Genomic DNA, 26720 nt, shown 5'->3' with positions numbered 1-26720 from the left:
GAACCCCTCGGGCCCTGGCTGAACCCCTAGGGAGCAGCAACCATTCCTCCCACAGAACTTAGAGGCCCTTCTGTTTGGAGCTGGGGATAGAATTGGGTCCAAGAGGGAAGGACTCCCTTCTCGGAGGGGATGGAGGGGACGGGTCCTGGCTGGTGGGGGAGGGGTCACAGCTGAAGGATGGGGAAGGAACCGTTCAGGCGGAAATGGGCTGTGAGGTAGAGGAGGGAGGAGGGGTAGATGCCTGGGCCCTTCCTGGCCCTTGCTGGCCTCCAGACCTGCCACTCCTGTGGCACCTCTGATGCCCACTACAGAGATGGCTCTTGTACTGGCTTTGAAGTGTTCATTCCCAAGTCTGAACTGAGGATCCGCGGCACAGGAGCCAGGGCTGCCTGTGTGCCCACATCATAGCCTGAGGAGTCAGCCCAGGGTCTGGTCTGTACACGGTACTCAAGAGAGAGGTTGTTGAAAGGACACCAGCACAGCACCCCAAAACTGGGGCTTGTGGCCTGTGAGCTGCAAGTTCGGAAGTAAATGGCAGGGTGGAAGCCCCGGCAGCCGCCCGCCCCTGACTCCAGGATGCCTAGGCGGGAGGCTGTGGGGGACACAGGTGGGGTTGAAGATTATGACCTTGGGCATCTGAGCCTGGTGGCAGTTGGGCTCCAGCACTGACTGTGGGCAGCTACCAGCCTCGCGGCCTTTGCTTCCTTATGTGGGAATGGACAGGACAGCCGACCATGTGGAGATCCTGGGGGCATCACCAAGGTGGCACTGTAAGGCACCCAGCACAGACGAGGTGCTCAGAGGATGCCAGCTGCTCTATGGCCCCAGACACCATGGCCCAGGGCAGCTACCAGAGTGGCCCCCGAGCTGCCTGGCAGTGGGAAGGCAGGGCCCCAGCCCACCCCCAACCCAGGGGTCTGGTTCCTGGCCCCTGCCTCCCCACCTCCTGATATACAGCGGGCATTAGGCCGCCCAAAGGGGATACTGCATCCTTAGGAAGAAATATGTCCTCATTTTTCTTGAACACCGTTTCCACTGAGTGAAATGTTTAGAAGGGACGCGCAGGGAGAACTTTATTTCCTACCAGGGAGTTCAGAGCCACCAAGCAGAGCCCATAAAGCACCCGGAGCCTGGGAGCTGACAGGCAGCCCGGCCCCAGAACACATTACTCACGGCTGGGGAGGGGCTGCCAGGCCTGCCCGGCCCCCTGGGACAGACCCCCACCCACCCACCGTTGAGGCAGGACAAGCAACTCTGAGACCCAGGGCCATGGGCGGTGGGCACTGCAGCCTCTCCTCCCCTTGAACCCAGGATGCCTGCGGGAGGGGGCCTGGCCCTGACCAGGTGAGCAGGCTACCTCCAGAGAGCAGTGAGATCAGGGGACTGGGGATGCGGTGCAGCTACAGGAACGCCCCTCTCACCCAGAGCTGGCAGGAGCCCTGGCCTGCCCCCGCCTACGGAGGGGGTGATGAGATTCATGCCATAACGGGGCCTTCTCCCGAGGCCCTCCCTTCATTTGATTTCTGAAGCCGGCTGATTTGAATATTTATAAATATCAGTAAATTATTTATTGTAGCAATCTGCTGCACCATTTTACCCATCGCAGTTAACACTTTAAGGGGCTCCGTGTTATGGGAACAGGAAGCGAGGGTGAGGAGGGGACGGGGCAGGGGAAGGAGTCCCCGCAGAGAGGCCTGGGATTTCCTAGGGCCGGCTTAGGGGCCCTAATGGGGATGGGGCCAAGTCCCAGCCTTCGGGAGCTCCTGGCCAGGGTGAGCTTGGGCTCTGGAGTGTCTACAGCCTCCTCCTCTATGAAATGGGACAATGACAGTGCCGGCTCCGCTGGGCCGTTACAAGTCATGCCTTAGTGCCCGGAAAGGTGGACGGTCCAGTCCATGCCCGTTTTCCCCAACCCTGTGCAGGGTCTCCTCAGCTCAGAGACCTGCGGGGAGACCTGCTGCTCGTGGCGCCCTGAGAGGGAAGGTCCCGAACCTAGGAATCCGAGGAGGGGCTGAGAGGCCAGCCCGCCCCTGCCCCAGACCTCTGGCCTCTTCTCTGTCCCCTGCCTCTTCCAGGCCAGGTAAGGTTTCTCAGCCTTGGAATCTCAAGCTCACGTGTGGCACCACATCTGCCTGGTGGCCCTCCCAGGGCTCAGCTGCTTTTTCCCAGGTTCATCCCTGCTAGGCCCTGTGCTTGGCACAGACAGGTGCCCTCTCTCACCTAACAGCCTGGCCGCCTTTCTACAGGGAAAAATCTTGCCCAGGGCCAGAGCTAGCGCAGGGCAGAGCTCCGCCGTGAGCTCCCAACTCCCTGACCCCAGAGGCTAGGCCATACCCTGGTGCTGCGCCAGAGCCCGTGGGGCCAGAGGCTGGAGGCCAAGAGCACCGCCACCAGCAGAGAGTGGGCTCTGACTGTGTGTGGGTCCCAGGCCCCGGCCCAGCCCACCTCGGCAGCCCCTCCCCTCGCCTCTCCCGTCTCTGGGGAAGCAGAGCAGGAGTCCCCTCGCCTTCCCACCCTCTGGCCCAAGCCTGCCTCCTGGGCAGTATTGTTCCCAGAGGAAGTGTCCAGTGTAAATAGAGCAGCGGGCAGGCTGGTGGCGGGAAGGAGATGAAAGGGGCAGTGACAGGGCCGGGGACGGATGGCTTCCTTCCATTGAGGCCTGGCCACGGCGTTTATATTTTAGGGAAGAAAGTCAGAGGAATGTTTACATGGACAGGAGTCTGGGGTCAGACCACAGCGGGGTGGGGGGCGGATCGTCTATGGATCCCAGGGCCCTGGGCCGGAAGGCGGCGGAAAGCTTAGACCTCAGCTCCAACGCACCCCTGTTCCCGCCGCCCAGCCTCACACGCGCTCGCACTTACAAACCTAAGCCCTACCTCTGCCTCCTGCCCCTGTGTCCCCGGCCCACACGCCTCCCACCTCCACCCCTGGGACCAGCAAGAGAGGGAGAGGGAGGGCAGCATCTGGAAGGCAGGTGGGCTGGGGCAGCGCGGCAGCTGGAGGGCAGGTGCCGGGGGAGTCGGCAGGAGCAAAGGGGCCTGGGGCTGGGGGCGGGTCCTGGGTACACAGCTGCACCGCAGCTGGTGGGGGCCCGGGCAGGGACTGAGCCAGGCACACAGCCGAGATGGGGAGAAGGTGGGCTGGGCTGGGTGGGCCAAAGTGCGGGGAGGCTCCAGGATGGGTGGGGGCCCGGGGAGGGGGCGTCACCAGCAGCAAGTGCGGCCCTGGGAGCTTCTGCTTCCCTCTTCCTTAGGATAAATATTTACAGATTCATTTGCTGTCTGCCATCCACACTTGGCTGCTTACCTCCTGGTAAAAATAGTGCAGGCTCCCCCACTCCCCCCTTCCCTTCCCCATCCAGGGCAAGGGATGAGGGGACCAGGTGAGGCCCGCTTCCCCGGAGGCCTGTTGGAGGACACCCGGCGTCACAGAACCTGCTGGGCAGCTCCGAGGTCGAGTGGGATGCTGTGAAGAGGAGGCCCCGTCTCAGAACTTCGAGAGGGGCCCCGCATCGTGCTTGGGGTCTTGGGTGTGGGTGGCACAGACTTGGAGATGTGGACGAACCTGGGTAGAGTGGGCATCGGCTTGGGCAAGTGTCTAAGGCCCTGAAGCCAGGGTCACAGGACTGGAAGGCCTGGGAGTGGGCTGAGAAGACCCTTCTCTGGCAGTGGGCCTGGCTGGGCTAGAGTCACCCTGTCTCGTCTGGGCCAAGTGAGCCATCCGTACTGGCCACTGGCTACAAGGGAAGGATCTGGCTGGGACGGCCAGGCACTGTGTCTATCAGGGGACGGTTATCTGTGCGTATGAGTCAAGTCCACCTCAGGGATGCGGCCCCTGGGTGGACCCAGGTATTGCCATTCCCGCCTGGGTAGGCCTCTCATCGGGTTTCCTGGCATGTGGAAAGTTGGCAGGGGGTGATCATTAGAGTGAAGCCCCTTCTGACCATGGAGCCGGGGGGCCCTGCCCTCAGCCTTCCCGCCTATGTGGAGACTCTGACACGCCCATTCCTCCCGTGAGGGCCATGGAGAGGCACATTTTGTTTTGTACACAGTGAGTGTGAGCCGAGCCCCTGCTGCTGTGGCCACTGCGCTGTCCCCAAGCCCCACCACAGGGTCTGGCCCACAGAAGGAGCTCACTAAATGGACGGACAGACAGACAGTTCCATGTGGCTGCGCTGTGTGTGCACGCGTGTGTGTGCGTGTGTGTGTGTCCACCCTCGCCAGCCTTTGTGGCAGGTCCCAGGCTGTGTGGTGGGTGGGCTTGCCGTATGCCCCCCCAGGACCCTCGGTGCCCTATCAGGGACAGAGTTTGGGCTATGCGGCCGCGAGGGAGGTCGCTGGCTCTCAAGTCGCCTCATGAGGGCTTCCTTCCGGCTGTGTGTGTCGGGCTGTCACATTCGGGGATTAGGTGCTGTGACCGGCGCTTCGGGGCGTTCCGTGAGGGACCTAAGCGATCCCACCCTGCACCTGCTGGAGCTCCTGGGGGCTGGGAAGTGGGCTGGCCAGGCCTTCCGGGGCTGCAGAGGCTGGCCGAGGCTGGGGAGCAAGGTCCTAGGATAGGGACAAGTGGCCCTAGGAAGTGCCATGAGGAACTCCACTTGGATGGCTCTGACTGAGGCTTGGGGAAGGGAGTGGCAACAGGAAATGGACAGAGAGGCCAAGAGGGGGCTGGCAAGGGCTGGAGAAGACCCTGAGGCAGGGAGGAGACTGAGGAACACGGAGGCCTTCGGGAGGGTCCTGAGTGGCTGGGAGAAAAGGAGATCTCTGCTCTCTGCTGAGCAGGGTTGGAGTCAGGTAGGGCCCAGGGACCTGGCCTGGCAGAGGAGCCGCCAGGGGCTGACGTGCTCGGGTGGGAGGGTGCCAGCCAAGTGCTGCCGGGACAGTGAGGCAAGAGGCTGGCACAAGCTGGTCCCTGGCTCTCTGTGACTCCTCCCCAGGAACGTGTGGTAAGGCAGGACGCTCCCAAGCGGAACAAGCTGCCAGGAATGCCACGCTGTCCCTTGACAGCCTGACCGCATAGCCGGCTCCTTAACCTCCCTGGGCCTCAGTTTCCTTGTGTGTCAAAGGGCACACCCCCTCCCAGGGCCCAGCAAGCCTAGGAAATGCCTCCAGGACCTGGGCGCCCCTTGTAGTTGAAGAGGCATTCATTCATTCATTTGTTCATTTACAGACTAGTTCTTGAACTACCTACTCTGTGCCAGGCACCCTGCCAGGCTCAGAAAGTAGAGTGATTCTCAAGCATGGCCACGGAGCTCATAGACTAGTGGGGGAGATAGACACATGCCAGGCAGTCTCAGGGCAGTTTGATGGCACTGTGGTCAATGGGGGAGGCCTGCAGCTTGGGGGATGCAGGGCTGTTCGGGAGGGTGGGTTGTTCTTGGCCTTGCACGCCTCTGACCTCCGTGCTCTCCTCCATCCCTGCAGCTGAGGGCACCCGGTGCACGGACCCGCCTGCAGGCAAGCCCGCCATGGCGCCCAAACGCAAGGGTGGCCTGAAGCTGAACGCCATCTGCGCCAAGCTGAGCCGCCAGGTGGTGGTGGAGAAGCGAGCTGACGCCGGCTCCCACACGGAGGGCAGCCCATCGCAGCCCCGGGACCAAGAGCGCAGTGGCCCTGAGTCTGGGGCAGCCCGGGCCCCCCGCAGCGAGGAAGACAAGAGACGGGCAGTGATCGAGAAGTGGGTGAACGGGGAGTACAGCGAGGAGCCGGCACCCACACCCGTGTTGGGGCGGATTGCCCGCGAGGGCCTGGAGCTGCCTCCCGAGGGTGTCTACATGGTGCAGCCCCAGGGGTGCAGCGATGAGGAAGACCACGCGGAGGAGCCCTCCAAGGACGGCGGTGCCCTGGAGGAGAAGGATTCGGACGGGGCAGCCTCCAAGGAGGACAGCGGCCCCAGCACCAGGCAGGCTTCAGGTGGGTGCCTGGCCTTCGAAGGGAGGCTGAAGGCCAGGACAGGGAGGCCAGTGGGGAAGGGGCAGTGTGTCTGGTAAGCACACCCGACTCCTCACTCCTGCTCTAAATACCGGCCCCTCATCCCACCCAGGGAGGGCTCCTGGAGTGGGAGAGACTAGGACGGGGAGGGGCACCCCAGGTGAGAAGGGAAGGGCTGCAGCTGCCCCACACACAGTGGGTCTTCAAGAAACCACAGGCAGAGGGGTGGACAGGTGGGGAGGGAGGGAGGGAGGGATAGACGGGTGGGTGGATAGACAGACGGATGGGATAGATGGCTGGACAGATGGTGGGCAGGTGACTCTTTACACACACCTGTGAGGCCTGAGCTTACCGGGCACAGTACCTGGCACAAGAGGGGCGCAGCGGTCAACGGCATGAGCCTGTGAGCCTGCTGTCTGCACATTCTGCTACTTACGGAGCTTTCTCGGAGGAGCCCAGGACAAGCTTTGTTCTCCTGCCACTCCCCTTGGCCTCCTCTTCCTTCCCTACACCGCTGTCCCTGGCCCTCCCAGCAGGACGTCTCAGGGCCACATGGATTGCCAGCCCGGCCAGCGTATCCTCTTACAGCCAGCTGCCCCGGCCACGGTCCCCTGGCTGACCTCTCTCCCACGAGGCACTGAGGCCCTGCTCTGCTGGTGTCTCCATGTCCATGTCCTGGGGATCGAGAGCAGCCCTGCGCGCCTTCTGCTCAGGGGAGGGTGGGCCGGGGGTTCCAGCAGGCAAGGGGGTCGCCAGGACCACAGCCCCCAGGTCTGGGCCTTCTCTCTGCCCCCGGCCTCCTTCCCAGCCTTGTGCCCGGTGCCCTGCGCCTCCCCTGCCCGCTCCCCTAGCCCTTCCCCTGCAGCAAGGGGTGCATCTCCTCCCCGTGCGGGGAGCCCTGCGCAGCCACATAATTATGCATGTAAGATATAAACAGAGCTGTTTAATTATCCTTCGCCACATCAGTGACAGAGTAATTAACAAACATTGCGAGATCAATGAGGAAAAGTGTGACCTTCAGTTTCCTCTGATAGGAAAAGCCCTTGCCGTTGCCAGACACAAGGTGATTGTGCTGGGCCTGAGGAGAGGAGAGGAGAGGAACGCGACAAGGGCCACCGTCCCCTCCACACCCCCACCCAGGCCAGCTCTGCCCGCAGCTGACGGGGAGCGGAGTGGGCCTCAGCCCCTGCCTCCTTCCCCCAGAGGAGTGGAGAGCGGGGCTGGCAGAGGCGGGCCTGGAACTGCCAATGGCCTCAGGGATCCAGGCCTCGCCCCCTCAGCCCGACACTGGGACTGCCTACTCAGCGCTGAGCGCTGGAGGACACAGACAGCGGAGCCTTGGCTGCCTCTGTGGGCTCGGCCCCCAAGCCACCTTCTCTGGGCCCTGGGCTCGGCCATGCAGGCCTGTGGGCCCCCTCAGGGACCCCTGCCTGGTCCCCTCCCTGTGCAAGCTGCCTGCCCTTCGAAGCCTGTTTCTCTGCCATATATAGCGAGGGCTCAGCTGCCTCCAGCTATTTTTAGCCCCTTTCCCTGGTCCCTGAGCCACTGAATCCAGCAGCCAGAGCCCACTCCTCCCTAGCTGGGCCCCCCAACCCTGTGTAGCTTGAGGTCAGGACAGCGGCTGACCCGCCAGCCCCGCCCCAGGGGAACAGCTGTCTTTTGGTTTCTTGAGTCCCTCTGTGCACCCTGGGTGCCAGGTGGCTGCCTGTGACTGTCCTCTCCTCCCCTAGCCGGGTCCCAGGCCCTCCCCGGAGCCCACAGCCTCTCCTTCCACATCCCGCCAGGTGTCCTCCCCTCCCCAGGCCCAGTCCTGCCCCTCTAGACCCCCATCCCAGGTGTCTCTGAGGATCCCAGACCTGGCAGGTTCGCCTGGGAGGAGACCCCCCAGCCACGCCTTCCCTTGGCTGTGTAGTCAGCCTGGGGTCCTGCCGCCCCAAGTGTGCCCACGTGGCTGGCTTGCACATGAGCAGAGAGAACATGGTGTCCCCGGGGGCCGTGCAGGTCTCAGTCTCGCGGGTGCACCTAACCCTGATGCAGGGCATGGCACACGGGAGGCATGTAGCACACGGGCAGTGAAGGGGCAGGTGTGCGTGTGCACTGGGGTCACGGCTCGGCCATGGGGTGGGGCATGTGCGGAAGAGGTGGGTCCGCAAGAACAGCTCAGAATTAGCCTGGGACTGACCGCCTTCTCCCTCATTCCGAGAGACCCAGGGCAGGGGTTCAGGGGGTTGTGTACCTGTATGTCTGCAGAGGCAGGAAGGCGGCTAGGGATGGGAGCTGGTGAGCCCGAGTGTGAGCGCAAGAGTCTGTGAGGTGTGTGAGTGTGTGGTGTCTGTGAGTCTGTATGAGTGTGTGTGTTGTGTCTGGGTATGTGTGTTTTATGTGAGAGTCTGCATGTGACTGTGTGGGGGTGAGCAAGTATATGAGTTTTATGTGACTGCGTGTCTGGATGTATGTGAGAGTGTGTGTGATTGTGTGTGTGATTGTGAGCACATGACTGGGTGTGTAGAGTGTGTGTGATTGCATGTGTGTTGTGTGTGACTGTGTGCATGTGACCGTGTGTGGGTTTATGTATGTGATGGCATGTGTGTGCATATGACTGTGCGTATGTGCGGGTGAGAGTGTGTAATAAGGCATGTGTGTATTGTATGTGATTGTATGCACGTGATTGGGTGTGTGGGTGTGAAAGTATGAGAATGCACATGTGTGTTGTATGTGATTGTGAGCATGTGACTGTGTGTGGGGGTGGGTGGGTGTCAATGTATGTGTGTGTTGTATGTGATTGTGAGCATGTGACTGTGTGTGGGGGTGGGTGGGTGTCAATGTATGTGTGTGTTTTATGTGATTGCATGTGACTGTGCGTGGGGATATGAGAGTGTATGAGAATGCATGTGTGTGTTGTGACTGTGTGTAGGTGTGTGAGTGTATGCGAATGCATGTGTGCGTTGTATGTCATTGTGTGCATGTAACTGTGTAGGGTGTGTGTGAGAATGCGTGTGTGTTATAGGTGATTGTGAGAATGTGGGTGTGTGAGAGTGTATGAGAATGCATGTGTGTGTTGTATGTGATTGTGTGCATGTAATTAACTGGGTTTATGTGAGTGTGTATGTGATGGCGTATGAGTGCATGCGACTGTGGGTGTGTGAGAGTGTATGAGAATGCATATGTGTGTTGTATGTGATTGCATGTGACTGTGTAAGAGTGTATGAGAATGCATGTGTGTGTTGTATGTGATTGTGTACATGTGACTGTGGGTGTGTGTGTGAGAATGGATGTGTGTGTTGTGAATGCATGTGACTGTGGGTGAGAGTATGAGAATGCATGTGTATGTTTTGTGTGTGTGTGCATGTGACTGTGTAGGTGTGTTTGAGAATGCATGTGTGTGTTGTATGTGATCGTGTGAATGTGACCGTGTGTGTGTTTGAGAATGCATGTGTGTGTTGTATGTGATTGTGTGAATGTGACCGTGTTGGGTGTGTGTGTTTGAGAATGCATGTGTGTGTTGTATGTGATCGTGTGAATGTCACTGTGTGTGTGTTTGAGAATGCATGTGTGTGTTGTATGTGATTGTGTGCATGTGACCGTGTGTGTGTGTGTGAGAATGCATGTGTGTGTTGTATGGGATCATGTGCATGTGACTGTGTGTGGGTTTGTGTGTGTGAGTGTGTGTTGATATGTGAGAATGTGTGTGTATGTCACTGTGGGGAGGTGGCTCCAGGCTTCCTGGTGTGCCCGGGGTGGCCACAGTAAGGAGGCTGCACTCAGGCCCTGCCCGGACTCCTGCCCTCCCCGGGTGGCCCAACCTTGTGTGACTGCAAGTGACTGGAGGAGGCCAGGGGGTTGGAGGACGTGTCCAGGTCCTATGTCACAGGCCAGGGGCACATCCACACACCTGCGCCCCTGGCTGAGCTGTGTTGTCAGGGACCCTCAGCACCTGGGAAGGTGTGGGGAGGCCAAGAGGCCAGGTCCTAGGAAGGCTTGTAGTGGACCCTTCATCTGCCCAGGGGATCCATTTGTGGGGTCAAGGGAGGTCCTCCAGCCAGGCCCACCCCGACCCCGGCCAGAGCATCTTCCCCACCCCTGGGCTCCCACCCAGCTGCCCACTGGCCCACGTCCCTACCTGTCCCCGGTTCTTGCCGCTCCCTGTCCTGGGAGGCAGGTTGGGATCTGGCCTTACTTCCAGTAAAATGACTTCTCTTTCATATTAGGCCAAGGCGAGAGAGCGGAGACATTTATGAAACTTTGTTTAATGTACTGAAAAGCCATCGGCCAGAACATTTAGGAAATTGATTTTCCTGGCATTGATGAACTCGTTTTATTTTACCCCAGTATTAATTACTTTTTTTTAAAACAAATTAATTTAAGAGTCGTAAAACCTAACAAGTGAGCCAAACGTCCATAGATCGTGTCCTGCTCCGCCCCTCCCCACACTGACCCCCTCCCTCTATGGGTGGGGGCCCCCAGTGGGGGGACCTCCTGTCCCTCCCACTCCCTCCCAGAGGTGATGCGCCCCCATCCTCCTCTGCAGGAGAGGCCTCCTCGCTGCGGGACTACGCGGCCTCCACCATGACCGAGTTCCTCGGCATGTTTGGCTATGATGACCAGAACACGCGGGACGAGCTGGCCAGGAAGATCAGCTTTGAGAAGCTGCACGCGGGCTCCACCCCGGAGGCAGCCACCTCCTCCATGCTGCCCACCTCCGAGGATACCCTCAGCAAGCGGGCGCGGTTCTCTAAGTATGAGGAGTACATCCGCAAGCTCAAGGCTGGCGAGCAGCTCTCCTGGCCGGCCCCCAGCACCAAGACCGAGGAGCGGGTGGGCAAGGAGGTGGTGGGCACCCTGCCCGGCCTGCGGCTGCCCAGCAGCACGGCCCACCTGGAGACCAAGGCCACCATCCTGCCCCTGCCGTCGCACAGCAGTGTCCAGATGCAGAACCTGGTAGCCCGGGCCTCCAAGTACGACTTCTTCATCCAAAAACTGAAGACCGGCGAGAATCTGCGGCCCCAGAACGGGAGCACCTACAAGAAGCCATCCAAGTACGACCTGGAGAATGTCAAGTACCTGCACCTCTTCAAACCCGGGGAGGGCAGCCCCGACATGGGCGGGGCCATCGCCTTCAAGACAGGCAAGGTGGGGCGCCCTTCCAAGTACGACGTCCGGGGCATCCAGAAGCCAGGCCCCGCCAAGGTTCCGCCCACCCCCAGCCTGGCTCCCGCACCCCTCGCCAGCGTGCCCAGTGCCCCCAGCGCCCCCGGGCCAGGGCCAGAGCCTCCTGCCTCCCTGTCCTTCAACACTCCCGAGTACCTGAAGTCAACCTTCTCCAAAACAGACTCCATCACCACGGGGACCGTCTCCACTGTCAAGTAAGGCGCTCCCCACCCCACAATGCCCAGAGCCAGGAGCCAGACTAGACAGGAGGCCTCCTTCCTCACCAGGGTTGCCCGTGCTTGAGGACACACCTGCCGCTCACACCTTATACACATCCACTGTGCATCCAGGCGCGTGCACACTCAGGCTCCCATCCATGCGCTTCCACACACACAGGTGCGCGCCGCACTCACATTCACTCTTGCACCTACAGAACCATGCGTGAGCCCTCCTGCAGCGCCCCCCCGCTCCTGGACCTGCGCGTGCACCTCGCACACGCCCCCCACACACGCCACCCACACACGCCCACACTCCCAGGCACAAGTGTGCTCTGCCTTTTGCTAGCATGCACACCGGGACTGCCCATGACAGCACACCCCATCTGCCCATGACAGGCTTTCTCTACCTGCTGCCATGGGTGCTGAATGCAGGCCTGTGGTTGGCTGAGAAGGCGCCACCCTGGCTGGGGATGCTGGGTCCATGCTGGTGGCCCTGGCTCCTGGGCTCAGAGCCTGGGCCCTGGGGGAGGCAGGAAGCAAAGGTAGTGACCGGGGTTAGGTGCATACACCCTTACAGCCTGAACCCATGGGCAGGGGAACGGCCTGGGTAGTCAAGTAGTGGATGGTGTGGGGCTGAGCGAGACCCTTCCCCAGAGCTCCTCCTGAACCCTGGGGGGGCTCCCGGACCCCAGGGGGCTGCATGCCTTGGAGCAGATCAGGGCGGCCCCTGCTGCCTGGGGAAGGATACACTTCCCCTGCCCAGCTGCCTGCCCCCACCTCGAATCCCTCCCTGTTGGGAGGCCTGGTGCCCCTCAGCCAGCGGCCTCCTGATGCTCCCTGAATGCTGGGTGCCGAGCCCGGGCTTCTGTGGCTTGCCAGCCCGTGCCCAAGGGGGCTGCAGCCCCACCTGCACGAGATGGCACTGCCCTCCCAGAGTTGGGCTCGTTGAACCTCTGGCCAGCTTCTGCCAGGGATGTCCTCAGTCCCACCGTGGGTGCCTCGGACACTGCAGAGCAGAGCAGAGGGGCTGGGGCCTCAGGGCAGGGGCTGCCCACCAGATGCCCCTGTAACACGAGGCTGCCCCATCTGCTCACCGGCTGTGCCCTGTGTGTCTCTTGCCAGGAACGGACTGCCCACAGATAAACCAGCCGTCACTGAAGATGTAAACATTTACCAGAAATATATTGCCAGGTAGGCCCCTGGGGAGGAGCCTGCCGTGGAGAGAAGGTGGGGGGCCAGGACTGACCGGGCACTCTGAGGCCATTCGTTTGATATCTGACCTCTAGGGCCAAGGTAGCTGCCTCCTCCCATCCCCATCCACTTCGGTCCCTCCACCGCACCGAGGGCTGCCCTGCACGCCCGTTTGGGAGCCTCCCTCCGCTCTGTGTAGTCCAGGCCACACATTCCCTCAGCAGCCTGTGCCCCCAGTTAGGGCCGGGGTCCCGACGCAGGGCCTGGCCACAGGTGAGTGCAGCTCCCCCAGCTTGCCTGGGTCCTGCTGTCACACAGAGCCTTGAGTAGGGTGCAGGCCACCGTGAAACTGTCAGGGCTGGGAAGGTAGAGGCAGGCCAGGTGCAGTGGCTCATGCCTGTAATCCCAGCACTGTGGGAGGCCAAGATGGGAGGATCACTTGAGGCCAGGAGTTTGAGATCATCCTGGGCAACAGAGTGAGACCCTATCTCTTTAAAAAAAAAAAAAAAAAGAGAGAGAGAAAGCGAGAGAGAAGGTGTGGGCTGTCGTCCTCTCTGACACAGCCCAATGCACTTCCCCAGTGAGGCTCTGACACCACCTGACTCCAGACCAACCCCTTTCCATCCCAAAGGCAGTGGGATTGGCAGTGAAGAGCCTTTGCCTCAACAGATTCCCCCAAATCACACAAATAACACCCCCCGCCCCCACCCCCCCACCGCCTGCCCTCTGATGGGGCAGCACCCAGCGGCTGGCGCCTGTCTGTCCGCAGATCTTCCAGGTTCCTCCCGCCCGCTCTGTCTCTCCGCCTCCACGTCCCACTCTGTCTCCGATCCCCTGTCCTGCTCTGTCTCTGTCCACCCCCATCCCACTGTCTCCGCCCCCCTGTCCCACTCTGTCTTCAGCTCTGCCCCGTGCTGTCTCCTCTGTGGTATTATTATTACCATTATTATTAGTGCCTCCGCAGATGGCCCTTTTGGCCACTTCAGCCTAAATATTTGTTTGCACGTGGTTTTCCCATTACAGTATGGGGTTTCTCTCTGTGTCTCCTGCAATCTCACTTCAGTCTTGGAGGGGTACAGGCGGGCTGAGTCACACCCTTCTCCACAGTCGTCATGGTGTGGCCTCTCCAGAGTGGCCTCCCCACGGCCGGCCGTCACCGAGGCTGTGGGAGCCACGTCCCAGCGGCCCTGGGGCCTGGAGGAGGACGGGTTTCCTGGGAGGCAGCACAGGTTCCTGGCGGTGGCGGCGGCGGCTGGAGAGTGAGCTCGTTGCTGTAGGAAGCCAAACAGATGCTGTGCTTTAAAAATTCATAGCTCTGCACTGTTTCAAGTGTCAGGAAAAGCCCAGGACAGAGAGAGCCCTTTAACACCTCTCAGCATCAGAGCCCGGCTGGCCCAGCCAGGGTCTCTGCACCTGGCCAGAACTGGGCGGGCTGGGAGTGGGGCAGGTAGCCCCTGCAGAAAAGACAGGTGGGCAGCCGAGGGGGCGCCTGCCTTCCCTTCCATCCCAGGGCTCGGGCCCCATCTGTCTCCCCCTACTTTGACTTTTGGCCACCTCAGTGTTGTCCTGCCCCTTTCTTGGGGCCAGGCCTCTTTGCCTCAATGGGCCTGGGATTCCCGCCAGGCCCAGTCACTTGCCTGGGCCTCTGCAACTTCACCTCCCCTCTGCATCCCATACAGGGCCCGAAGAGTCCTCCCTGGGGCTGGGGCTGGGGCTGGGGCTGGGACTGTCACCCACAGCAGGGCCCTGACCCCACCCCTCCTCCCTCCAGGTTCTCGGGCAGCCAGCACTGTGGCCACATCCACTGTGCCTACCAGTACCGCGAGCACTACCACTGCCTTGACCCTGAGTGTAACTACCAGGTACGGCCACAGCCAGATGGGCTCCGCCTCTCCGCCACCAGCACAGCATGGAGGCGCTTAGAAGTCGGCAGGCGGGGACGGCAGTGGGGGGGGTTAGTTCTAGTTGCACCACCCAAACTTGACTTGAGCAGGTAGAGGGCCCGCAAAACCACCAGCCTGCCCACATTCCCCGATTCCTGCCGACAGAGCAGCTCCTACGATTGGGGGCCAGTGACCTCCCAGTGGTGATCATTCCAGTCCCCTTTGACTGAGAGCCTCCCACGTGCCCAGGGCCATGCCAGCCAGCCTATGAGCCTTGCCTAATTGACTCTTTGCAGTGGCCTTAGAAGGTTAGCATTACTGCCCCATCTTAAAGATGATAAAATTGTGGCTCAGCCAGAGTGCCACTGTGCCCAAGGCTGCCCGCCAGTGAGCGCGGGGCTGGTGAGTGGGGGGAGAGTCAGGGCAGCCTGCGTGGGGTGGCTCCCTCTGGCTTGCCAGGGATCCCAGCCTGCCTTAGTCCAGAGGTGCACTGGGCGGGATGAGCTGTCAGCATCAGAGCCCCTGCCCTCAAGGCCTGGCCCAATGCATCATCTGTGCTCCTGGGGATGGCCACTGGGCACCTAGGGGAGCATCGGGGAAGAATCTATGGTCCTAGAACCTTTGGGATGGTTCCCTCCAAGGGCTGATGTGCCTGCCACTGGCCTTGGACAATCTGGGCTGCCTTGACCCCAAGCAGGGTTCTTTCTAGGGAGACCTGAGGCCAGCACCTGGCCCAGGTGCTCTTGGCATATGGGAGGAAGGGCGGAGGGGGAGCTCAGGCTCCTGCCCACGTGGCGCTGTCTCCTGGCAGAGGTTCACGAGTAAGCAGGACGTGATCCGCCACTACAACATGCACAAGAAGCGCGACAACTCCCTGCAGCACGGCTTCATGCGTTTCAGCCCGCTGGACGACTGCAGCGTCTACTACCACGGCTGCCACCTCAATGGGAAGAGCACCCACTATCACTGCATGCAGGTGCCTCCCGCACCCGGGCCCACTGGGCAGCTGCAGGACTGGCCCAGGCCCTCCCGGCTCTGAGCCCCCCACTCCCAGAGGCAGGGCTGCCCCATGGGCAGGGACCCCAGTTGATCAGGAGCCTCTCTTTCCCCTGGCCCAGCACAGGGATGGCCAGCGAGCCAGGAGGGTCCTGGGGGTTCAGGCTTGGGCAGCGTCTGGTGGGCCAGGGTGGGGCCTTCCCCATGGCCATACTTGGTGTGGATGAAATTCAGTGAGCTGTTTATACAGATGGACATTTTTCAGGCTTTAACACCAAGAGCAGCATTGCAAATGATTCCTGAGGAGGTTTTTGTTTAATTCTTTGTTTTAATGCCACGCAGAGTCTGGGCTTTTTCAAGGTGTCAGGGCCAGGAGGAGCGACTTTGGGTTGCAAATAGCAGCCCTATGCCTCCCCCGGTATTTGTCAGGAGTTGTTATGGCCTCTGTGAACAACCTGGGCCACGAGGAGAGGGGGGCCACCCTCTGGGCTCTGAGATGGTGCAGACACTGGCACGGCCCAGCCTACGAGAGTGTTCGGATTCCACGGGTTTTTACTCAATATGGCAACGTTGCCTTCCTGGCCCAGCTGGGGTGGGGTGGGAGGGCCCCGTGCCCAGGGACTGTCCACTAAGCAAATCCCTGGGCTAAAGGTGACCTCCAGGGTCCAGCCCCTGTCCACCCACTGAGGGTTTTAGAGGTAGGGCCATGGATTGGAACTCAAAATCCAACTCCTGCAGGATGCAGCTCCCTCCCCTGGGCCAAAAAGTGCCCTGAGTCTCCGGAGATGCCCTGATCCTCAGCACAGACGGAGCCAGGCTCCAGCAGCACTTGGTCCCTCTGTGGAGGCCTGAGGGGCTGTTGGAGGCTTTCTACTCTGCTTCCTACATCAACATCCCGAGGCCTCCAGTTTGAAGTCAGAGGTGCCAAAGCTTCCCTGAGCAGGGAAGTCAGTGGCCCCAGCCACACACAGTGGTGTCGACCTCGGCCCAGGAGCACCTGGCCTCCGTTCGCCTGACCACCATCCCGTCCTGTGCAGGTGGGCTGTAACAAGGTGTACACGAGCACGTCTGACGTGATGACCCACGAGAACTTCCACAAGAAGAATACCCAGCTCATTAACGACGGCTTCCAGCGCTTCCGAGCCACCGAAGACTGTGGCACAGCCGACTGCCAGTTCTACGGACAGAAGACCACGCACTTCCACTGCAGGTAAGCGGGAGCCTGGTGGGGGCCTTCGTGGGCAGAAGCGGGGAGGGAAGGCAAGGACCCAGGCTCGTGGGACGGCTCAGGCCCCTGCCTCGGTGTCCAGCCTGGGTTTTCCACCCGGGGGACTGTCCCTCCCAGGGCCATGGTGTAGCAGGGTGGGGCCTCCTCTGGGTCTCATGACAGGCTCCCAATGTCCCATCCAGGCGCCCCGGCTGCACATTCACTTTCAAGAACAAGTGTGACATCGAGAAGCACAAGAGCTACCACATCAAGGACGATGCCTACGCCAAGGACGGCTTCAAGAAGTTCTACAAGTACGAGGAGTGCAAGTACGAGGGCTGCGTGTACAGCAAGGCTACCAACCACTTCCACTGCATCCGCGCCGGCTGCGGCTTCACCTTCACCTCCACCAGCCAGATGACCTCTCACAAGCGCAAGCATGAGCGCCGGCACATCCGCTCCTCGGGCGCGCTGGGGCTGCCGCCCTCGCTGCTGGGCGCCAAGGACACGGAGCACGAGGAGTCCAGCAACGACGACCTTGTTGACTTCTCCGCCCTGAGCAGCAAGAACTCCAGCCTGAGCGCCTCCCCTACCAGCCAGCAGTCCTCTGCGTCCCTGGCTGCCGCCACTGCCGCCACCGAGGCTGGGCCCAGTGCCACCAAACCTCCCAACAGCAAGATCTCGGGGCTGCTGCCCCAGGGCCTGCCTGGCTCAATCCCCCTGGCCCTGGCCCTCTCCAACTCGGGCCTGCCCACCCCCACGCCCTACTTCCCCATACTGGCTGGCCGTGGGAGCACCTCCCTGCCTGTGGGCACCCCCAGCCTCCTGGGTGCCGTGTCGTCTGGGTCAGCAGCCTCAGCCACCCCTGACACACCCACGCTGGTCGCCTCGGGAGCTGGAGACTCAGCCCCCGTGGCTGCCGCCTCTGTCCCGGCACCACCCGCCTCCATCATGGAGAGGATCTCTGCAAGCAAGGGCCTCATCTCGCCCATGATGGCCAGGCTGGCTGCAGCTGCCCTCAAGCCCTCTGCCACCTTTGACCCAGGTGAGCAGGCTGGGTCCTGCCCAGAAAGCAGGCACCTTCTGGACTGGGGTGGCCACCTGGCCTCAGGCTGCAGAGCAGAGTCGGGGGGTGTTTGGAAGAAGTGTCCGTGTGGCCCCTGCTTGCCAGCACCCCCTCTTTGCCTGATCTTCGCCCCCATCCTGTTGGTTTCTATGTGGGGCCCCTGGTTCTGGCTCCCCACAGTAGGGGGGCCATGCTTCTGTTTCCCCATCTGTGAGCTGGGGGCGATGGTCCCTGCCTCCTCGGCTGCCCTGCATCCCTGGGGCCACTGCAGGTCCCCCCTCCCTGTCTGCTCACCCTCCCACATCCCAAGTCCACCCTGATAAGAGCAGGCCCAGGGCCCCTGGCGTGCCGAGCGTTTCCTCCAGCTGACCTGGAGCAGGGCCTGCGTCCAGCCCAGCGGTAGTGGGGCTGCACCTCACACCTGGACACCTCCAGGCCCAGGGACGCCCTTCCCAGGCTCCCTCCTCCATGAGTGCCATTGCAGTAGGACTTTCCAGGCCTTGGAAGCCTTCTATTCTGCAGTGTTTGACTTGGCAGCCACTGGCCACGTGTGACTGTTGGTGCTTGAAGCTGGGTCTGTGATTGGGAAGCGGGATTGTCACTTTAAACAACCACACTTGGCCAGGGACTGCCACGTCAGACAGAAAAGGGCCAGAGCCCCGGAGTTGCATCTTCCTTCTTCACGCTGGTTCACTGAGGGGCGCAGTTCTCTTTCCTGCCTTCCTATAATTTCATAAATATCCATTTTAAAAAAATTTCCCTCCATTTTTCTCTGGATTGGGGTGAGGGTGTTTTCTGTTTACCTCACTCCTCTCCCAGTTTCCCTGCTCTGGGTAGTTCCTATTTGTTGAATCCTTGAGGAGAGTTCCGTTCACATCTGGGATGTGGCTCATTTCACTTATTCATTCAACAACCACTGATGCTTGCTGAGAGCCAGGCTCCAAGCCGGGTGCTGGGGACACAGCAGGCGGGACGCCAGACAGAGCCCCACGCCGTGGAGCCAGCAGACGGTCAGGGATGGTCTGTCCCGGGCACATGGCTAGGAAGTGGTGAACCAAGGCGCTGCCCGCAGGAGTGGGGCTCCTGGGCCTAGATGCCCTGTTCCCATTCGAAACCCTCTCAGAACCAGCCAAGACTGAGGGTCCCTGTGGCCCAGTCTGGGGCTCTGCCCACACCTTGCAGAGGCTGCCAGTGCTTGGCAGGGGAGCTGGGCCGTTTTCCTGGGACCTTGGGCAGGTGACTTTGGAGAGCTGCTGGAATGTGAAGTCCCAAGGTCTGAAAACTCTCACAGGCCCAATAGGACGCTCATGCCCGGTGGCCGCGTGGAGGGACCGCCTCCTGGTCCAGGCATGGGTGGGGCCTCGCTGGCCACGCCCTTCCAGCCAGGTGCCTGATGGATGGGGCAGGGCCCACTCCAGGGCCACGTGGGCTCGGTGGCCAGACTGTCAAGTACTTTGTTTTCATTAGAAAAGTCTCCTTCTCCCAAAAGAAAGATCAAGCACAGGGGAGGGGGCCGTTTTATTTTTTAATAAAATGCCACTTGCTGTTTCTGAAGCAGCACTCTGTCAGCTACAGCACCTTGGGGCAAATTCATATTTCCGTCACTGGGGGATTGTAGGGGAAAGCTCGCTGGATGGCCCTGTCAGCAACTTCTTTTACCCCTGCTCTGCTGGCCTCCTGCGGCCTCACCCGCCCAGCTCCCTTCCGGACCCAGCTCGGCCCAGCCTGGCCTCGTGTCCCTGCCCCGGATAGCTTGACTGCGAGGTCACCCGGTGTGGCCGCTCTGATTGGCCATCGGCCCCATCGCCCTGACACAGCAGAGGCCCTTCCTGGGCATGCTCCGTGCGGGGGCCGTCACCCCAGCAACCGCGGGCTGGGGACCACAGAGGGGCCCTCCCAGTCCAGATCTGCCACTTTCCCTCAGCATTAACAGAGTCTTTAATAAAAGCCTAAGCGGCAGCCCCACAAATCGACTGTGACAGTTGGTGGAGAAAATGAAGGGCCCCCGCCCCCACCCCAGCCCCCTCCCCAGCCTCCCGCCCTTCTCCTCCAGGAGGCCCTGAGCCAGGACAACTTTGACATAATTTTGCAATAATTATCACTTGAAGAATTGCCACACAGGAGCGAGCGTCGCGAGCGATCACGTCAGCGGGAGAAGCGCTGACCAGTAGCCGGGGCCCACCCAGCCCACTGCCCTCCCTCCAGGGGGCACGGCGGCTGTCTGTGCCCGGGCCAGGCCTTCAGCCCCTCTGACGCATCTTCCCACCCCTCCCCTGCAGGAAGCGGGCAGCAGGTCACCCCAGCCAGGTTCCCCCCGGCCCAAGTGAAGCCGGAACCCGGTGAGAGCACCGGCGCCCCAGGCCCCCACGAAGCCTCCCAGGACCGCAGTCTAGACCTGACTGTGAAGGAGCCCAGGTGAGGCGAGGCCCCCTATGGGAGCCAGCCCCGGGAACCACACCTTCGAGCTGGAGCCCCGGGGTGGTCCCGCCCAGGCAGTTGCAGCGGGCTCGGCTGGAGCCCCAGGGTCGGGCAGGGAAGGTGAGCCCCAGGGCCCAGGCCCCGGCCGTCTGAGCTCAAGTCCCTTGGTTTGTGTGTTCTAGCAACGAATCAAATGGCCACGCAGTCCCGGCAAATTCATCTCTTTTATCCTCGCTTATGAATAAGGTAAGAGCCATCCATCACACGCCTCCCGTTCCCCCACCCAGAGAAATTAAAGCTGTGCTGGGGGGTGGGGGGATGTGTTTGTTTTTTAATGTTTTGCCTCTAATAAGATGAGTTTGTACCATTTAAATTTTGAGGCCATTTTTCATCGGATATAATTTCAGAGCCACTGCTTACAAATTAATTTAATGAACTGGCTGAAGAAATATATTCCAGCCTCTGACACCTTTTTTTCCCTTCAGATGGAGGGCTCCAAAAGCTTTTCCAGAGCCCTTCAACTTCGTTCGTGCCTCGTTATTAATTTTATTTATTTATTTTATATATATTTTTTGTTTGTTTAAAAGGGGATGGGGGAGGGGGGACTAAAGTGGGAGCAAAACATCAATTTCCACTTTTCCGGTTGAGTAATGGTCTCGGACGCCTTCCGGAGAGGTCGCTCCGGAATATTTATTTTAAATAATGCAGGGTCTTTGTAAATTATACATCATCTCAAATACATTTTTCCCCTTCACATGATACATTTGACTACAGCAAGATTAATTCGGTTACTGTACACAAGTGACTGCCCTGAGGAGGGGCCGGGCCCGGGCCGGACCTCTCGCCGCAGGGCCCCAGCCGGGCACTCGGTGGGGAAGGAGCCTCACTGGTCCGTGGCATCCACTCCTTGGCCACTTGCCCTCTTGCTCTCCTTCCCCCTCCCCTTCCTTTGGCCTCCGCCCCCACGACCCCCTCCCTTCCCTTGGATCCTCGCAATGACCCCCTCCCGGCCGCTGCAGCAAGCCTGTCTGGGTCTCACCCGTGAGCCTCCCTCCCTCCCTCCCTCCCTCTCTCTCCTTTGTGGGCCTCCTCTTGTTCTCAAGGAATTCGTAGGGGTTCCCCCATCCCTCCTCCTTCTGCGCTTCTTTTGAAAACCTTCTGGCAGGAAAATAACCAGGGAGCCGCGAAGTCTGGGGAAAGATGGGCTGCAGCGTGCACCCTGAGTCGCGGCCTCGGCTTGAGTGATGGATCCCGCGGCACGGGCTCATGTGGAGGAGCCCTGAGGAGGCCTCGCAGCTCCTGGGGTCGGGGCAGCACAGCAGGCTCTCTGTTCAGAGAGGGCCCAGCCACAGCCAGAGCCAAGTAGGCGGGCCGCATTCTCTGCTGGCTCTGAGGGCTGGGTGGGTCCCAGCAGCCCAGAGCTTCGGCTGTTGCTCCCCAGGCTGCCGTGTCTGTGTTCTAAGCTACCCCAGCCCCATGCTCGGCCTCTGTCCCTCACAGATGTCTCAGGGCAACCCTGGCCTGGGCAGCCTGCTGAACATCAAGGCGGAAGCGGAGGGGAGCCCCGCTGCGGAGCCCTCGCCCTTCCTAGGCAAGGCCGTGAAGGCGCTGGTTCAGGAGAAGTTGGCAGAGCCCTGGAAGGTGTACCTGCGCAGGTGAGGGGCTGCTGGCCGCGTCCACCCATCGTCCCCCCGCACCCGCCCTGGAGCCCCAGGCTCTCCTCTAACGCCAGCTCCTCTGGCTAGGTTTGGTACAAAGGACTTCTGTGACGGCCAGTGTGACTTCCTCCACAAGGCCCACTTCCACTGCGTGGTGGAGGAATGCGGCGCGCTCTTCAGCACCTTGGACGGGGCCATCAAGCACGCAAAGTGAGTAGGGTGCTGGGGGCCATTTCCACAGAGCCCCACGGATCCCAGCCTGGCTCTGGGGTGGGTGGGGCTCAGGCTGGTACAGCAGTTCCCGCTGGGCCACAGAAGCTGAGCCGGCTTCTCGGAGATGCTGCCCCAGCAAGGGTGGGCTTCCCATCCTCCTTCACACATGCAGCCCTCAGCCGGGGGCTCTGAGCCCCTGTCCAGGCCCTTCCTGGGACCCTGAGCAACAGCTGCTGCTGCACCCACGTCCCCAGGGCAGCCATCAGTCCCAGCACGTGCTCCCTGCAGAGCAGGCCAGAGGGGCACAGAGCCCAGCTGGAGAGACTCGGCTGTGACCTGGAGCAGGAACCCTAGCTGAAGGCCTTTCCAAGCCACAATATTACATCTCTAGGTTACCTTTGACCTAAACATAATGAAATGAATTTGTAAATCCCATTGAGTTAAAAGGCTTCGAGCCTAGCCGCCCACTTATAAGGGAACTCAGAACTTGAAATCGTTTAAAACAGACCTGCAGTGCTCCCAAGGCTTTTCCGACCGCGTAGGCACCCTCGGCCGTAGCCCGCGGGGAAGCCTGCTGTGAATACTGAGAATCCTACCTTTAAGACCTCCGAGCAGGTTCTGGAAGGAAGAGGCTTCCTGGGGCAGGGCCTGCTGTCACACATATGGAGGAGCTGGGGACCGAGGAAGGGCACAAGTAGGAAGGCATGGTTAGGCCCAAGCCAGGAGACCAAGTTCGGAACCAGGGGACGCTGCAGTTTGCCCTCCAGTCCTTCTGTCCTGGTGGGGTCACAGGGGACTTCTGGAGCTGAGTGATGGGGACGAGTAGGGACGGACACCGGGGTCTAGGCCTGTGATGGGGTCACATGCATGCCCCTCCACACCTGTCTTCACTGCCCCCCATGAGACCCCCTCTTCTACCTCTCGCAGCTTCCACTTCCGGACAGAGGGAGGAGCAGCAAAAGGAAACACAGAGGCTGCCTTTCCGGCCTCGGCCGCCGAGACCAAACCTCCCATGGCCCCCTCGTCCCCTCCGGTCCCTCCTGTCACCACGGCCACGGTGTCCTCTCTGGAGGGGCCCGCTCCCAGCCCGGCCTCCGTGCCCTCCACCCCCACCCTGCTCGCCTGGAAGCAGCTGGCTTCCACCATACCCCAGATGCCTCAGATCCCAGCGTCAGTGCCTCACCTGCCCGCCTCGCCCTTGGCAACGACTTCTCTAGAGAACGCCAAGCCCCAGGTCAAACCCGGATTCCTCCAGTTCCAGGAGAAGTGAGTCCCTCGATGAGCCGGGAGTCCCGCGTTCCCCTCGCGTCTCGGGAGTAGGTGCTAGCAAGGGCGCTAGGAGGCCCTGTTCCTCACTGCGGATGGTGCTGCTGTCCCCAGCCTCTCTGGGGCATGGCCATCGGGTGATGTCCTTCTAGCCAAAGATGCTGCTGCTCCTACCTCACTGCCTGTCCCAGAGCAGGCCAGCCCGCGTGGGCCGATGGTGGCGGCAGTGGCTACTGCTCCTGCAGGGCATGTGGTGATCCTGCCAGGGCCAGGTGGGGTGGACTGGGCGTGGTGGTCCTCAGAGGACAACTCCCAGCCTGACAAGGAGGGCTGCGTCTCCCTCCGAGCCTCCGTATTGGCCTCCTCTGTGGCTCACACCCATGGCTGAATCTCTGCAGGGCACGTGAAGTCACGGGTAGGGGCCAGGCCCCTCCAGGCCGTCACTGGCCTGCACAGTGGTCTGAGCTCTTGGGTGGAAGGGACCCTCCTCACTGGATGGTGGTGGCTCCTTGCAGGGAGAACGGTGACTTTGTATTGTCATGTGTGCGGCTTCCTGTTCTCAATAAAAGTAATAAATTGGATTATTTATATCGCCTGAGTGGCAGCTGTCCTCCCTCTCTGAGCAACTGGGGCTGGGCCCACAGCATGGAAGGGGCCCAGCACTGTTCTCCGTCCCCCCCACCAGCCTCCCCTCCCCCTCCTCCTCCCCAGAGTAGCAGCTCAGGTTTCCCTGGCCTGGTCAGAGTGCCCACCGTGGGTCCCCTGGGAGGGGACTACAGTGTTGCCAACCAGAGTTGAAGGCTGGGACCAGTGTCCTCCTGCACCCCTCTGCATCCTGGAGGCGGCCTAGGGCAGGCCAGCACACCCGCTCTGCCCCAGCAGCTCTCCCACTCCGCCGGCAAGTGAGGTCTGAGTGGGTGGGCACCATGGGCCCCGAGTTGATCCTGGGGAGCCCAGCAGCTGTGAGCCCCCAGGAGCTGACACCAGGCACGCGCTCCTGCTTGCTAAGGGCCTGTGGCAGCAGCGCTTCCTGGTGGGGCCGAGCACCCATCTGCAGTCTGTCAGCCACATCCACGGTGGCGCCCATGCCACGCCAGCCAGGGCCTCACGGCACCCCGCCAGGGCTGGCAGCACCATCCTTATTTTCCGATCCAAGAAGTTATTACAGCCATCCTTATCTATAATCCTGAGGTGTGGCCATGGAAACTACTTGTCCCAGCATGCAATGCTCTGGGCACCCTGCATATTGCAATCCCTGTGCACCATGCAGAGCTCCTAAAAGGAGGCAGGAATGCATGCTGGGATCTGTAGTCTCCAGCTGAGTCATCCTGTTGAGCAGGACAGCAGCCCAGGCCATCCCTCTTGGTGGTACCGCTGGTCGTGGGGGAGTGAACTCCAACACAAGTGAAGTCAGGACACCAGCAGGGAGGGCTTGAGAATGGCAATGACCTTCTGGGCTGTGGTTTCCTTCCAGCGATCCTTGCCTCGCCACGGACTGCAAGTACGCCAACAAGTTCCACTTCCACTGTCTCTTTGGGAACTGCAAGTACGTCTGCAAAACGTCTGGCAAGGCCGAATCCCACTGCCTGGACCACATCAACCCCAACAACAACCTGGTGAACGTGCGAGACCAGTTTGCATACTACTCTCTGCAGTGTCTCTGTCCCAACCAGGTCAGCATGGCGGTACACGGCGCAGGGGCAGAGTAGGGGGCAGGGAGGTGCAGGGCTAGCTCAGGGCACAGGACAGTCACCTCCTGGCAGAGGCTCCATTTCTCACACCTTGCTTATTTAAATGGGCCTCCCGGACTCTGGAAAGAGCACCATCTGCCCCTAGGCCCCTGGAGACCCCTGGGCAGGGGTCCAGATTGGTGCTAGTTGGTGAGGTCTAACCCCCGAGTGGTGACTCAATGCTGGGCAGCCACCGTGCCCTTGACATCATTCTTGCCTATCCTGGAACTAGCTTTATGCCCCCTTTTTCCAAAGCCCTAGAATTTTCGAACAGGCCCATTGTCCGTGCCCACACAGGAAAGTCAGATCAGATTCACCTTAAAGGCCTGACTCCCAAGACCAGGAGGGGCTGCCTGAGGGGGAAACTGGGCCCAGAAGTGCTAGTATAGAGCAGTGATGTCTGCCCAGGTCTAGACATACAGGGAAGAGTGTTAAAATAGATTCGCGATGTCTGCTCTAGGTATGGGATTGCAGATGGCCTGCAAGGTTACCAGGCTAGGATGCTTTAGTGCAGTGACTAAGGGCAGACACTGCCTTTTTTTTGAGACAGTCTCGCTCTGTCACCCAGGCTGGAGTGCAGTGGCACGATCTCGGCTCACTGCAAGCTCTGCCTCCCGGGTTCACGCCATTCTCCTGCCTCAACCTCCCGAGTAGCTGGGACTACAGGCGCCCGCCACCACGCCCGGCTAATTTTTTGTATTTTTAGTAGAGACGGGGTTTCACCTCTTTAGCCAGGATGGTCTTGATCTCCTGATCTCGTGATCCGCCCACCTCGGCCTCCCAAAGCGCTGGGATTATAGGCGTGAGCCACCGCGCCCGGCCCTGCGCTGCTTTTTAACATGTGAAAGGTGTTTCTATGATCATCAGCTTCTGAGCAGAGAAGAACACATGTGCCAAGGGCCCACCACAGCCTCAGGCCCGGGGCAGGCAGGAGCTCTTGAAAGTCACCCGCCTGTCCTGACCCTCCCGTGTCTCCCTGCAGCACTGCGAGTTCCGAATGCGTGGGCACTACCACTGCCTCCGCACCGGCTGCTATTTTGTGACCAACATCACCACCAAGCTCCCCTGGCACATCAAGAAGCATGAGAAGGCGGAGCGGCGGGCAGCCAATGGCTTCAAATACTTCACCAAGCGCGAGGAGTGTGGCAGGCTAGGTACCGAGGGCTGGGGCTGCGGGCAGGGACTTGCAGCAGGCATCAAGACCATGGCCCCCGTGGCCTGGGCCGCCTCTCCTGGTACCCGCGTCCTGTTCCCCACCGCAGGCTCCACGTTTTGTTAAAGGTGTCCCAGATATCACGGGCTAGGCACTGTCAAGCTTGTGAAACAGTCCAAACCCACAAAGCCCAGCAAGAAGAGTGGGGGTGACTCACGCAGGGCACCGCCCCTCCACCCCCAGACAGCCGCCCTGGGACCTCATCTTGAGCATCCAGGGCCTGGGCGTGGTTCTGTTTTCCTTTTCTTATCAAGAAGGCGAGCAGGGAATTTTTAGGAGTTCAACGTTCTTTGCTCTGGGATCTCTTTCCATGGCTTTCATGATGAGGTTTTTGTCCGCAGTGAGCTACAGTTTGTTCTTCCATTCATCCATTCTGCAGTTATTTATGGAGGGACAGCTGTGTGCCAGGCTGGGTGCTGTCACAGGGGTGGGGGTGGTGACAGTGGTGGCGACTCAGATCTAATGGGGAACGGTCAAGTTCTCCATGGGCTCAGCTGGAGCACCCGTGACCCGGAACCCAGGAAGGGGTGCTGTGGCTTTGGGAAGGGAGGCCACTGATGCCTGAGAGGTAGCCGTGCTGCTG

The 26720-nt window shown here is 60.6% G+C and overlaps 1 protein-coding gene across 6 annotated transcripts in view, besides 6 other annotated features; it reads left to right on the top strand.

Annotated features, from left to right (window-relative positions):
- The window catches only part of CASZ1 (castor zinc finger 1), a 160043-nt gene that overhangs the window by 125652 nt on the left and 7671 nt on the right, over positions 1 to 26720 (top strand). For 5 of the 6 annotated variants that reach the window (NM_001079843.3, XM_017001540.3, XM_047423404.1 and 2 more), the window contains 14 exons: positions 5424 to 5912; positions 10459 to 11293; positions 12419 to 12487; positions 14259 to 14349; positions 15182 to 15346; positions 16404 to 16576; positions 16777 to 17618; positions 19919 to 20054; positions 20240 to 20303; positions 21558 to 21712; positions 21803 to 21925; positions 22856 to 23194; positions 24669 to 24867; positions 25907 to 26078. In NM_001079843.3, coding sequence (NP_001073312.1) covers positions 5424 to 5912; positions 10459 to 11293; positions 12419 to 12487; positions 14259 to 14349; positions 15182 to 15346; positions 16404 to 16576; positions 16777 to 17618; positions 19919 to 20054; positions 20240 to 20303; positions 21558 to 21712; positions 21803 to 21925; positions 22856 to 23194; positions 24669 to 24867; positions 25907 to 26078 — 3852 coding nt within the window. Of the gene's footprint in view, positions 1 to 5423; positions 5913 to 10458; positions 11294 to 12418; positions 12488 to 14258; positions 14350 to 15181; positions 15347 to 16403; positions 16577 to 16776; positions 17619 to 19918; positions 20055 to 20239; positions 20304 to 21557; positions 21713 to 21802; positions 21926 to 22855; positions 23785 to 24668; positions 24868 to 25906; positions 26079 to 26720 lie in introns of those variants that run through there. The other variant, NM_017766.5, reaches the window with a different exon arrangement.
- Positions 5087 to 5834: an enhancer, noted in NCBI's record as "H3K4me1 hESC enhancer chr1:10725218-10725965 (GRCh37/hg19 assembly coordinates)". NCBI's record gives its function as "activates a minimal SCP1, AML or CMV promoter by ChIP-STARR-seq in primed H9 embryonic stem cells {active_cell/tissue: H9 hESC(primed)}" and the evidence as "EXISTENCE:reporter gene assay evidence [ECO:0000049][PMID:30033119]".
- Positions 5835 to 6583: an enhancer, noted in NCBI's record as "H3K4me1 hESC enhancer chr1:10724469-10725217 (GRCh37/hg19 assembly coordinates)". NCBI's record gives its function as "activates a minimal SCP1, AML or CMV promoter by ChIP-STARR-seq in naive and primed H9 embryonic stem cells {active_cell/tissue: H9 hESC(naive and primed)}" and the evidence as "EXISTENCE:reporter gene assay evidence [ECO:0000049][PMID:30033119]".
- Positions 10207 to 10717: an enhancer, noted in NCBI's record as "H3K27ac-H3K4me1 hESC enhancer chr1:10720335-10720845 (GRCh37/hg19 assembly coordinates)". NCBI's record gives its function as "activates a minimal SCP1, AML or CMV promoter by ChIP-STARR-seq in naive H9 embryonic stem cells {active_cell/tissue: H9 hESC(naive)}" and the evidence as "EXISTENCE:reporter gene assay evidence [ECO:0000049][PMID:30033119]".
- Positions 10718 to 11228: an enhancer, noted in NCBI's record as "H3K27ac-H3K4me1 hESC enhancer chr1:10719824-10720334 (GRCh37/hg19 assembly coordinates)". NCBI's record gives its function as "activates a minimal SCP1, AML or CMV promoter by ChIP-STARR-seq in naive H9 embryonic stem cells {active_cell/tissue: H9 hESC(naive)}" and the evidence as "EXISTENCE:reporter gene assay evidence [ECO:0000049][PMID:30033119]".
- Positions 15132 to 15789: an enhancer, noted in NCBI's record as "H3K4me1 hESC enhancer chr1:10715263-10715920 (GRCh37/hg19 assembly coordinates)". NCBI's record gives its function as "activates a minimal SCP1, AML or CMV promoter by ChIP-STARR-seq in naive H9 embryonic stem cells {active_cell/tissue: H9 hESC(naive)}" and the evidence as "EXISTENCE:reporter gene assay evidence [ECO:0000049][PMID:30033119]".
- Positions 24188 to 24693: an enhancer, noted in NCBI's record as "H3K27ac-H3K4me1 hESC enhancer chr1:10706359-10706864 (GRCh37/hg19 assembly coordinates)". NCBI's record gives its function as "activates a minimal SCP1, AML or CMV promoter by ChIP-STARR-seq in naive H9 embryonic stem cells {active_cell/tissue: H9 hESC(naive)}" and the evidence as "EXISTENCE:reporter gene assay evidence [ECO:0000049][PMID:30033119]".

This window comes from Homo sapiens, chromosome 1, assembly GCF_000001405.40.
Source record: "Homo sapiens chromosome 1, GRCh38.p14 Primary Assembly".
Classification (NCBI taxonomy): domain Eukaryota; kingdom Metazoa; phylum Chordata; class Mammalia; order Primates; family Hominidae; genus Homo; species Homo sapiens.
The sequence above is the reverse complement of the archived record's forward strand: the minus strand, read 5'-3'. Positions and strand labels throughout refer to the sequence as shown.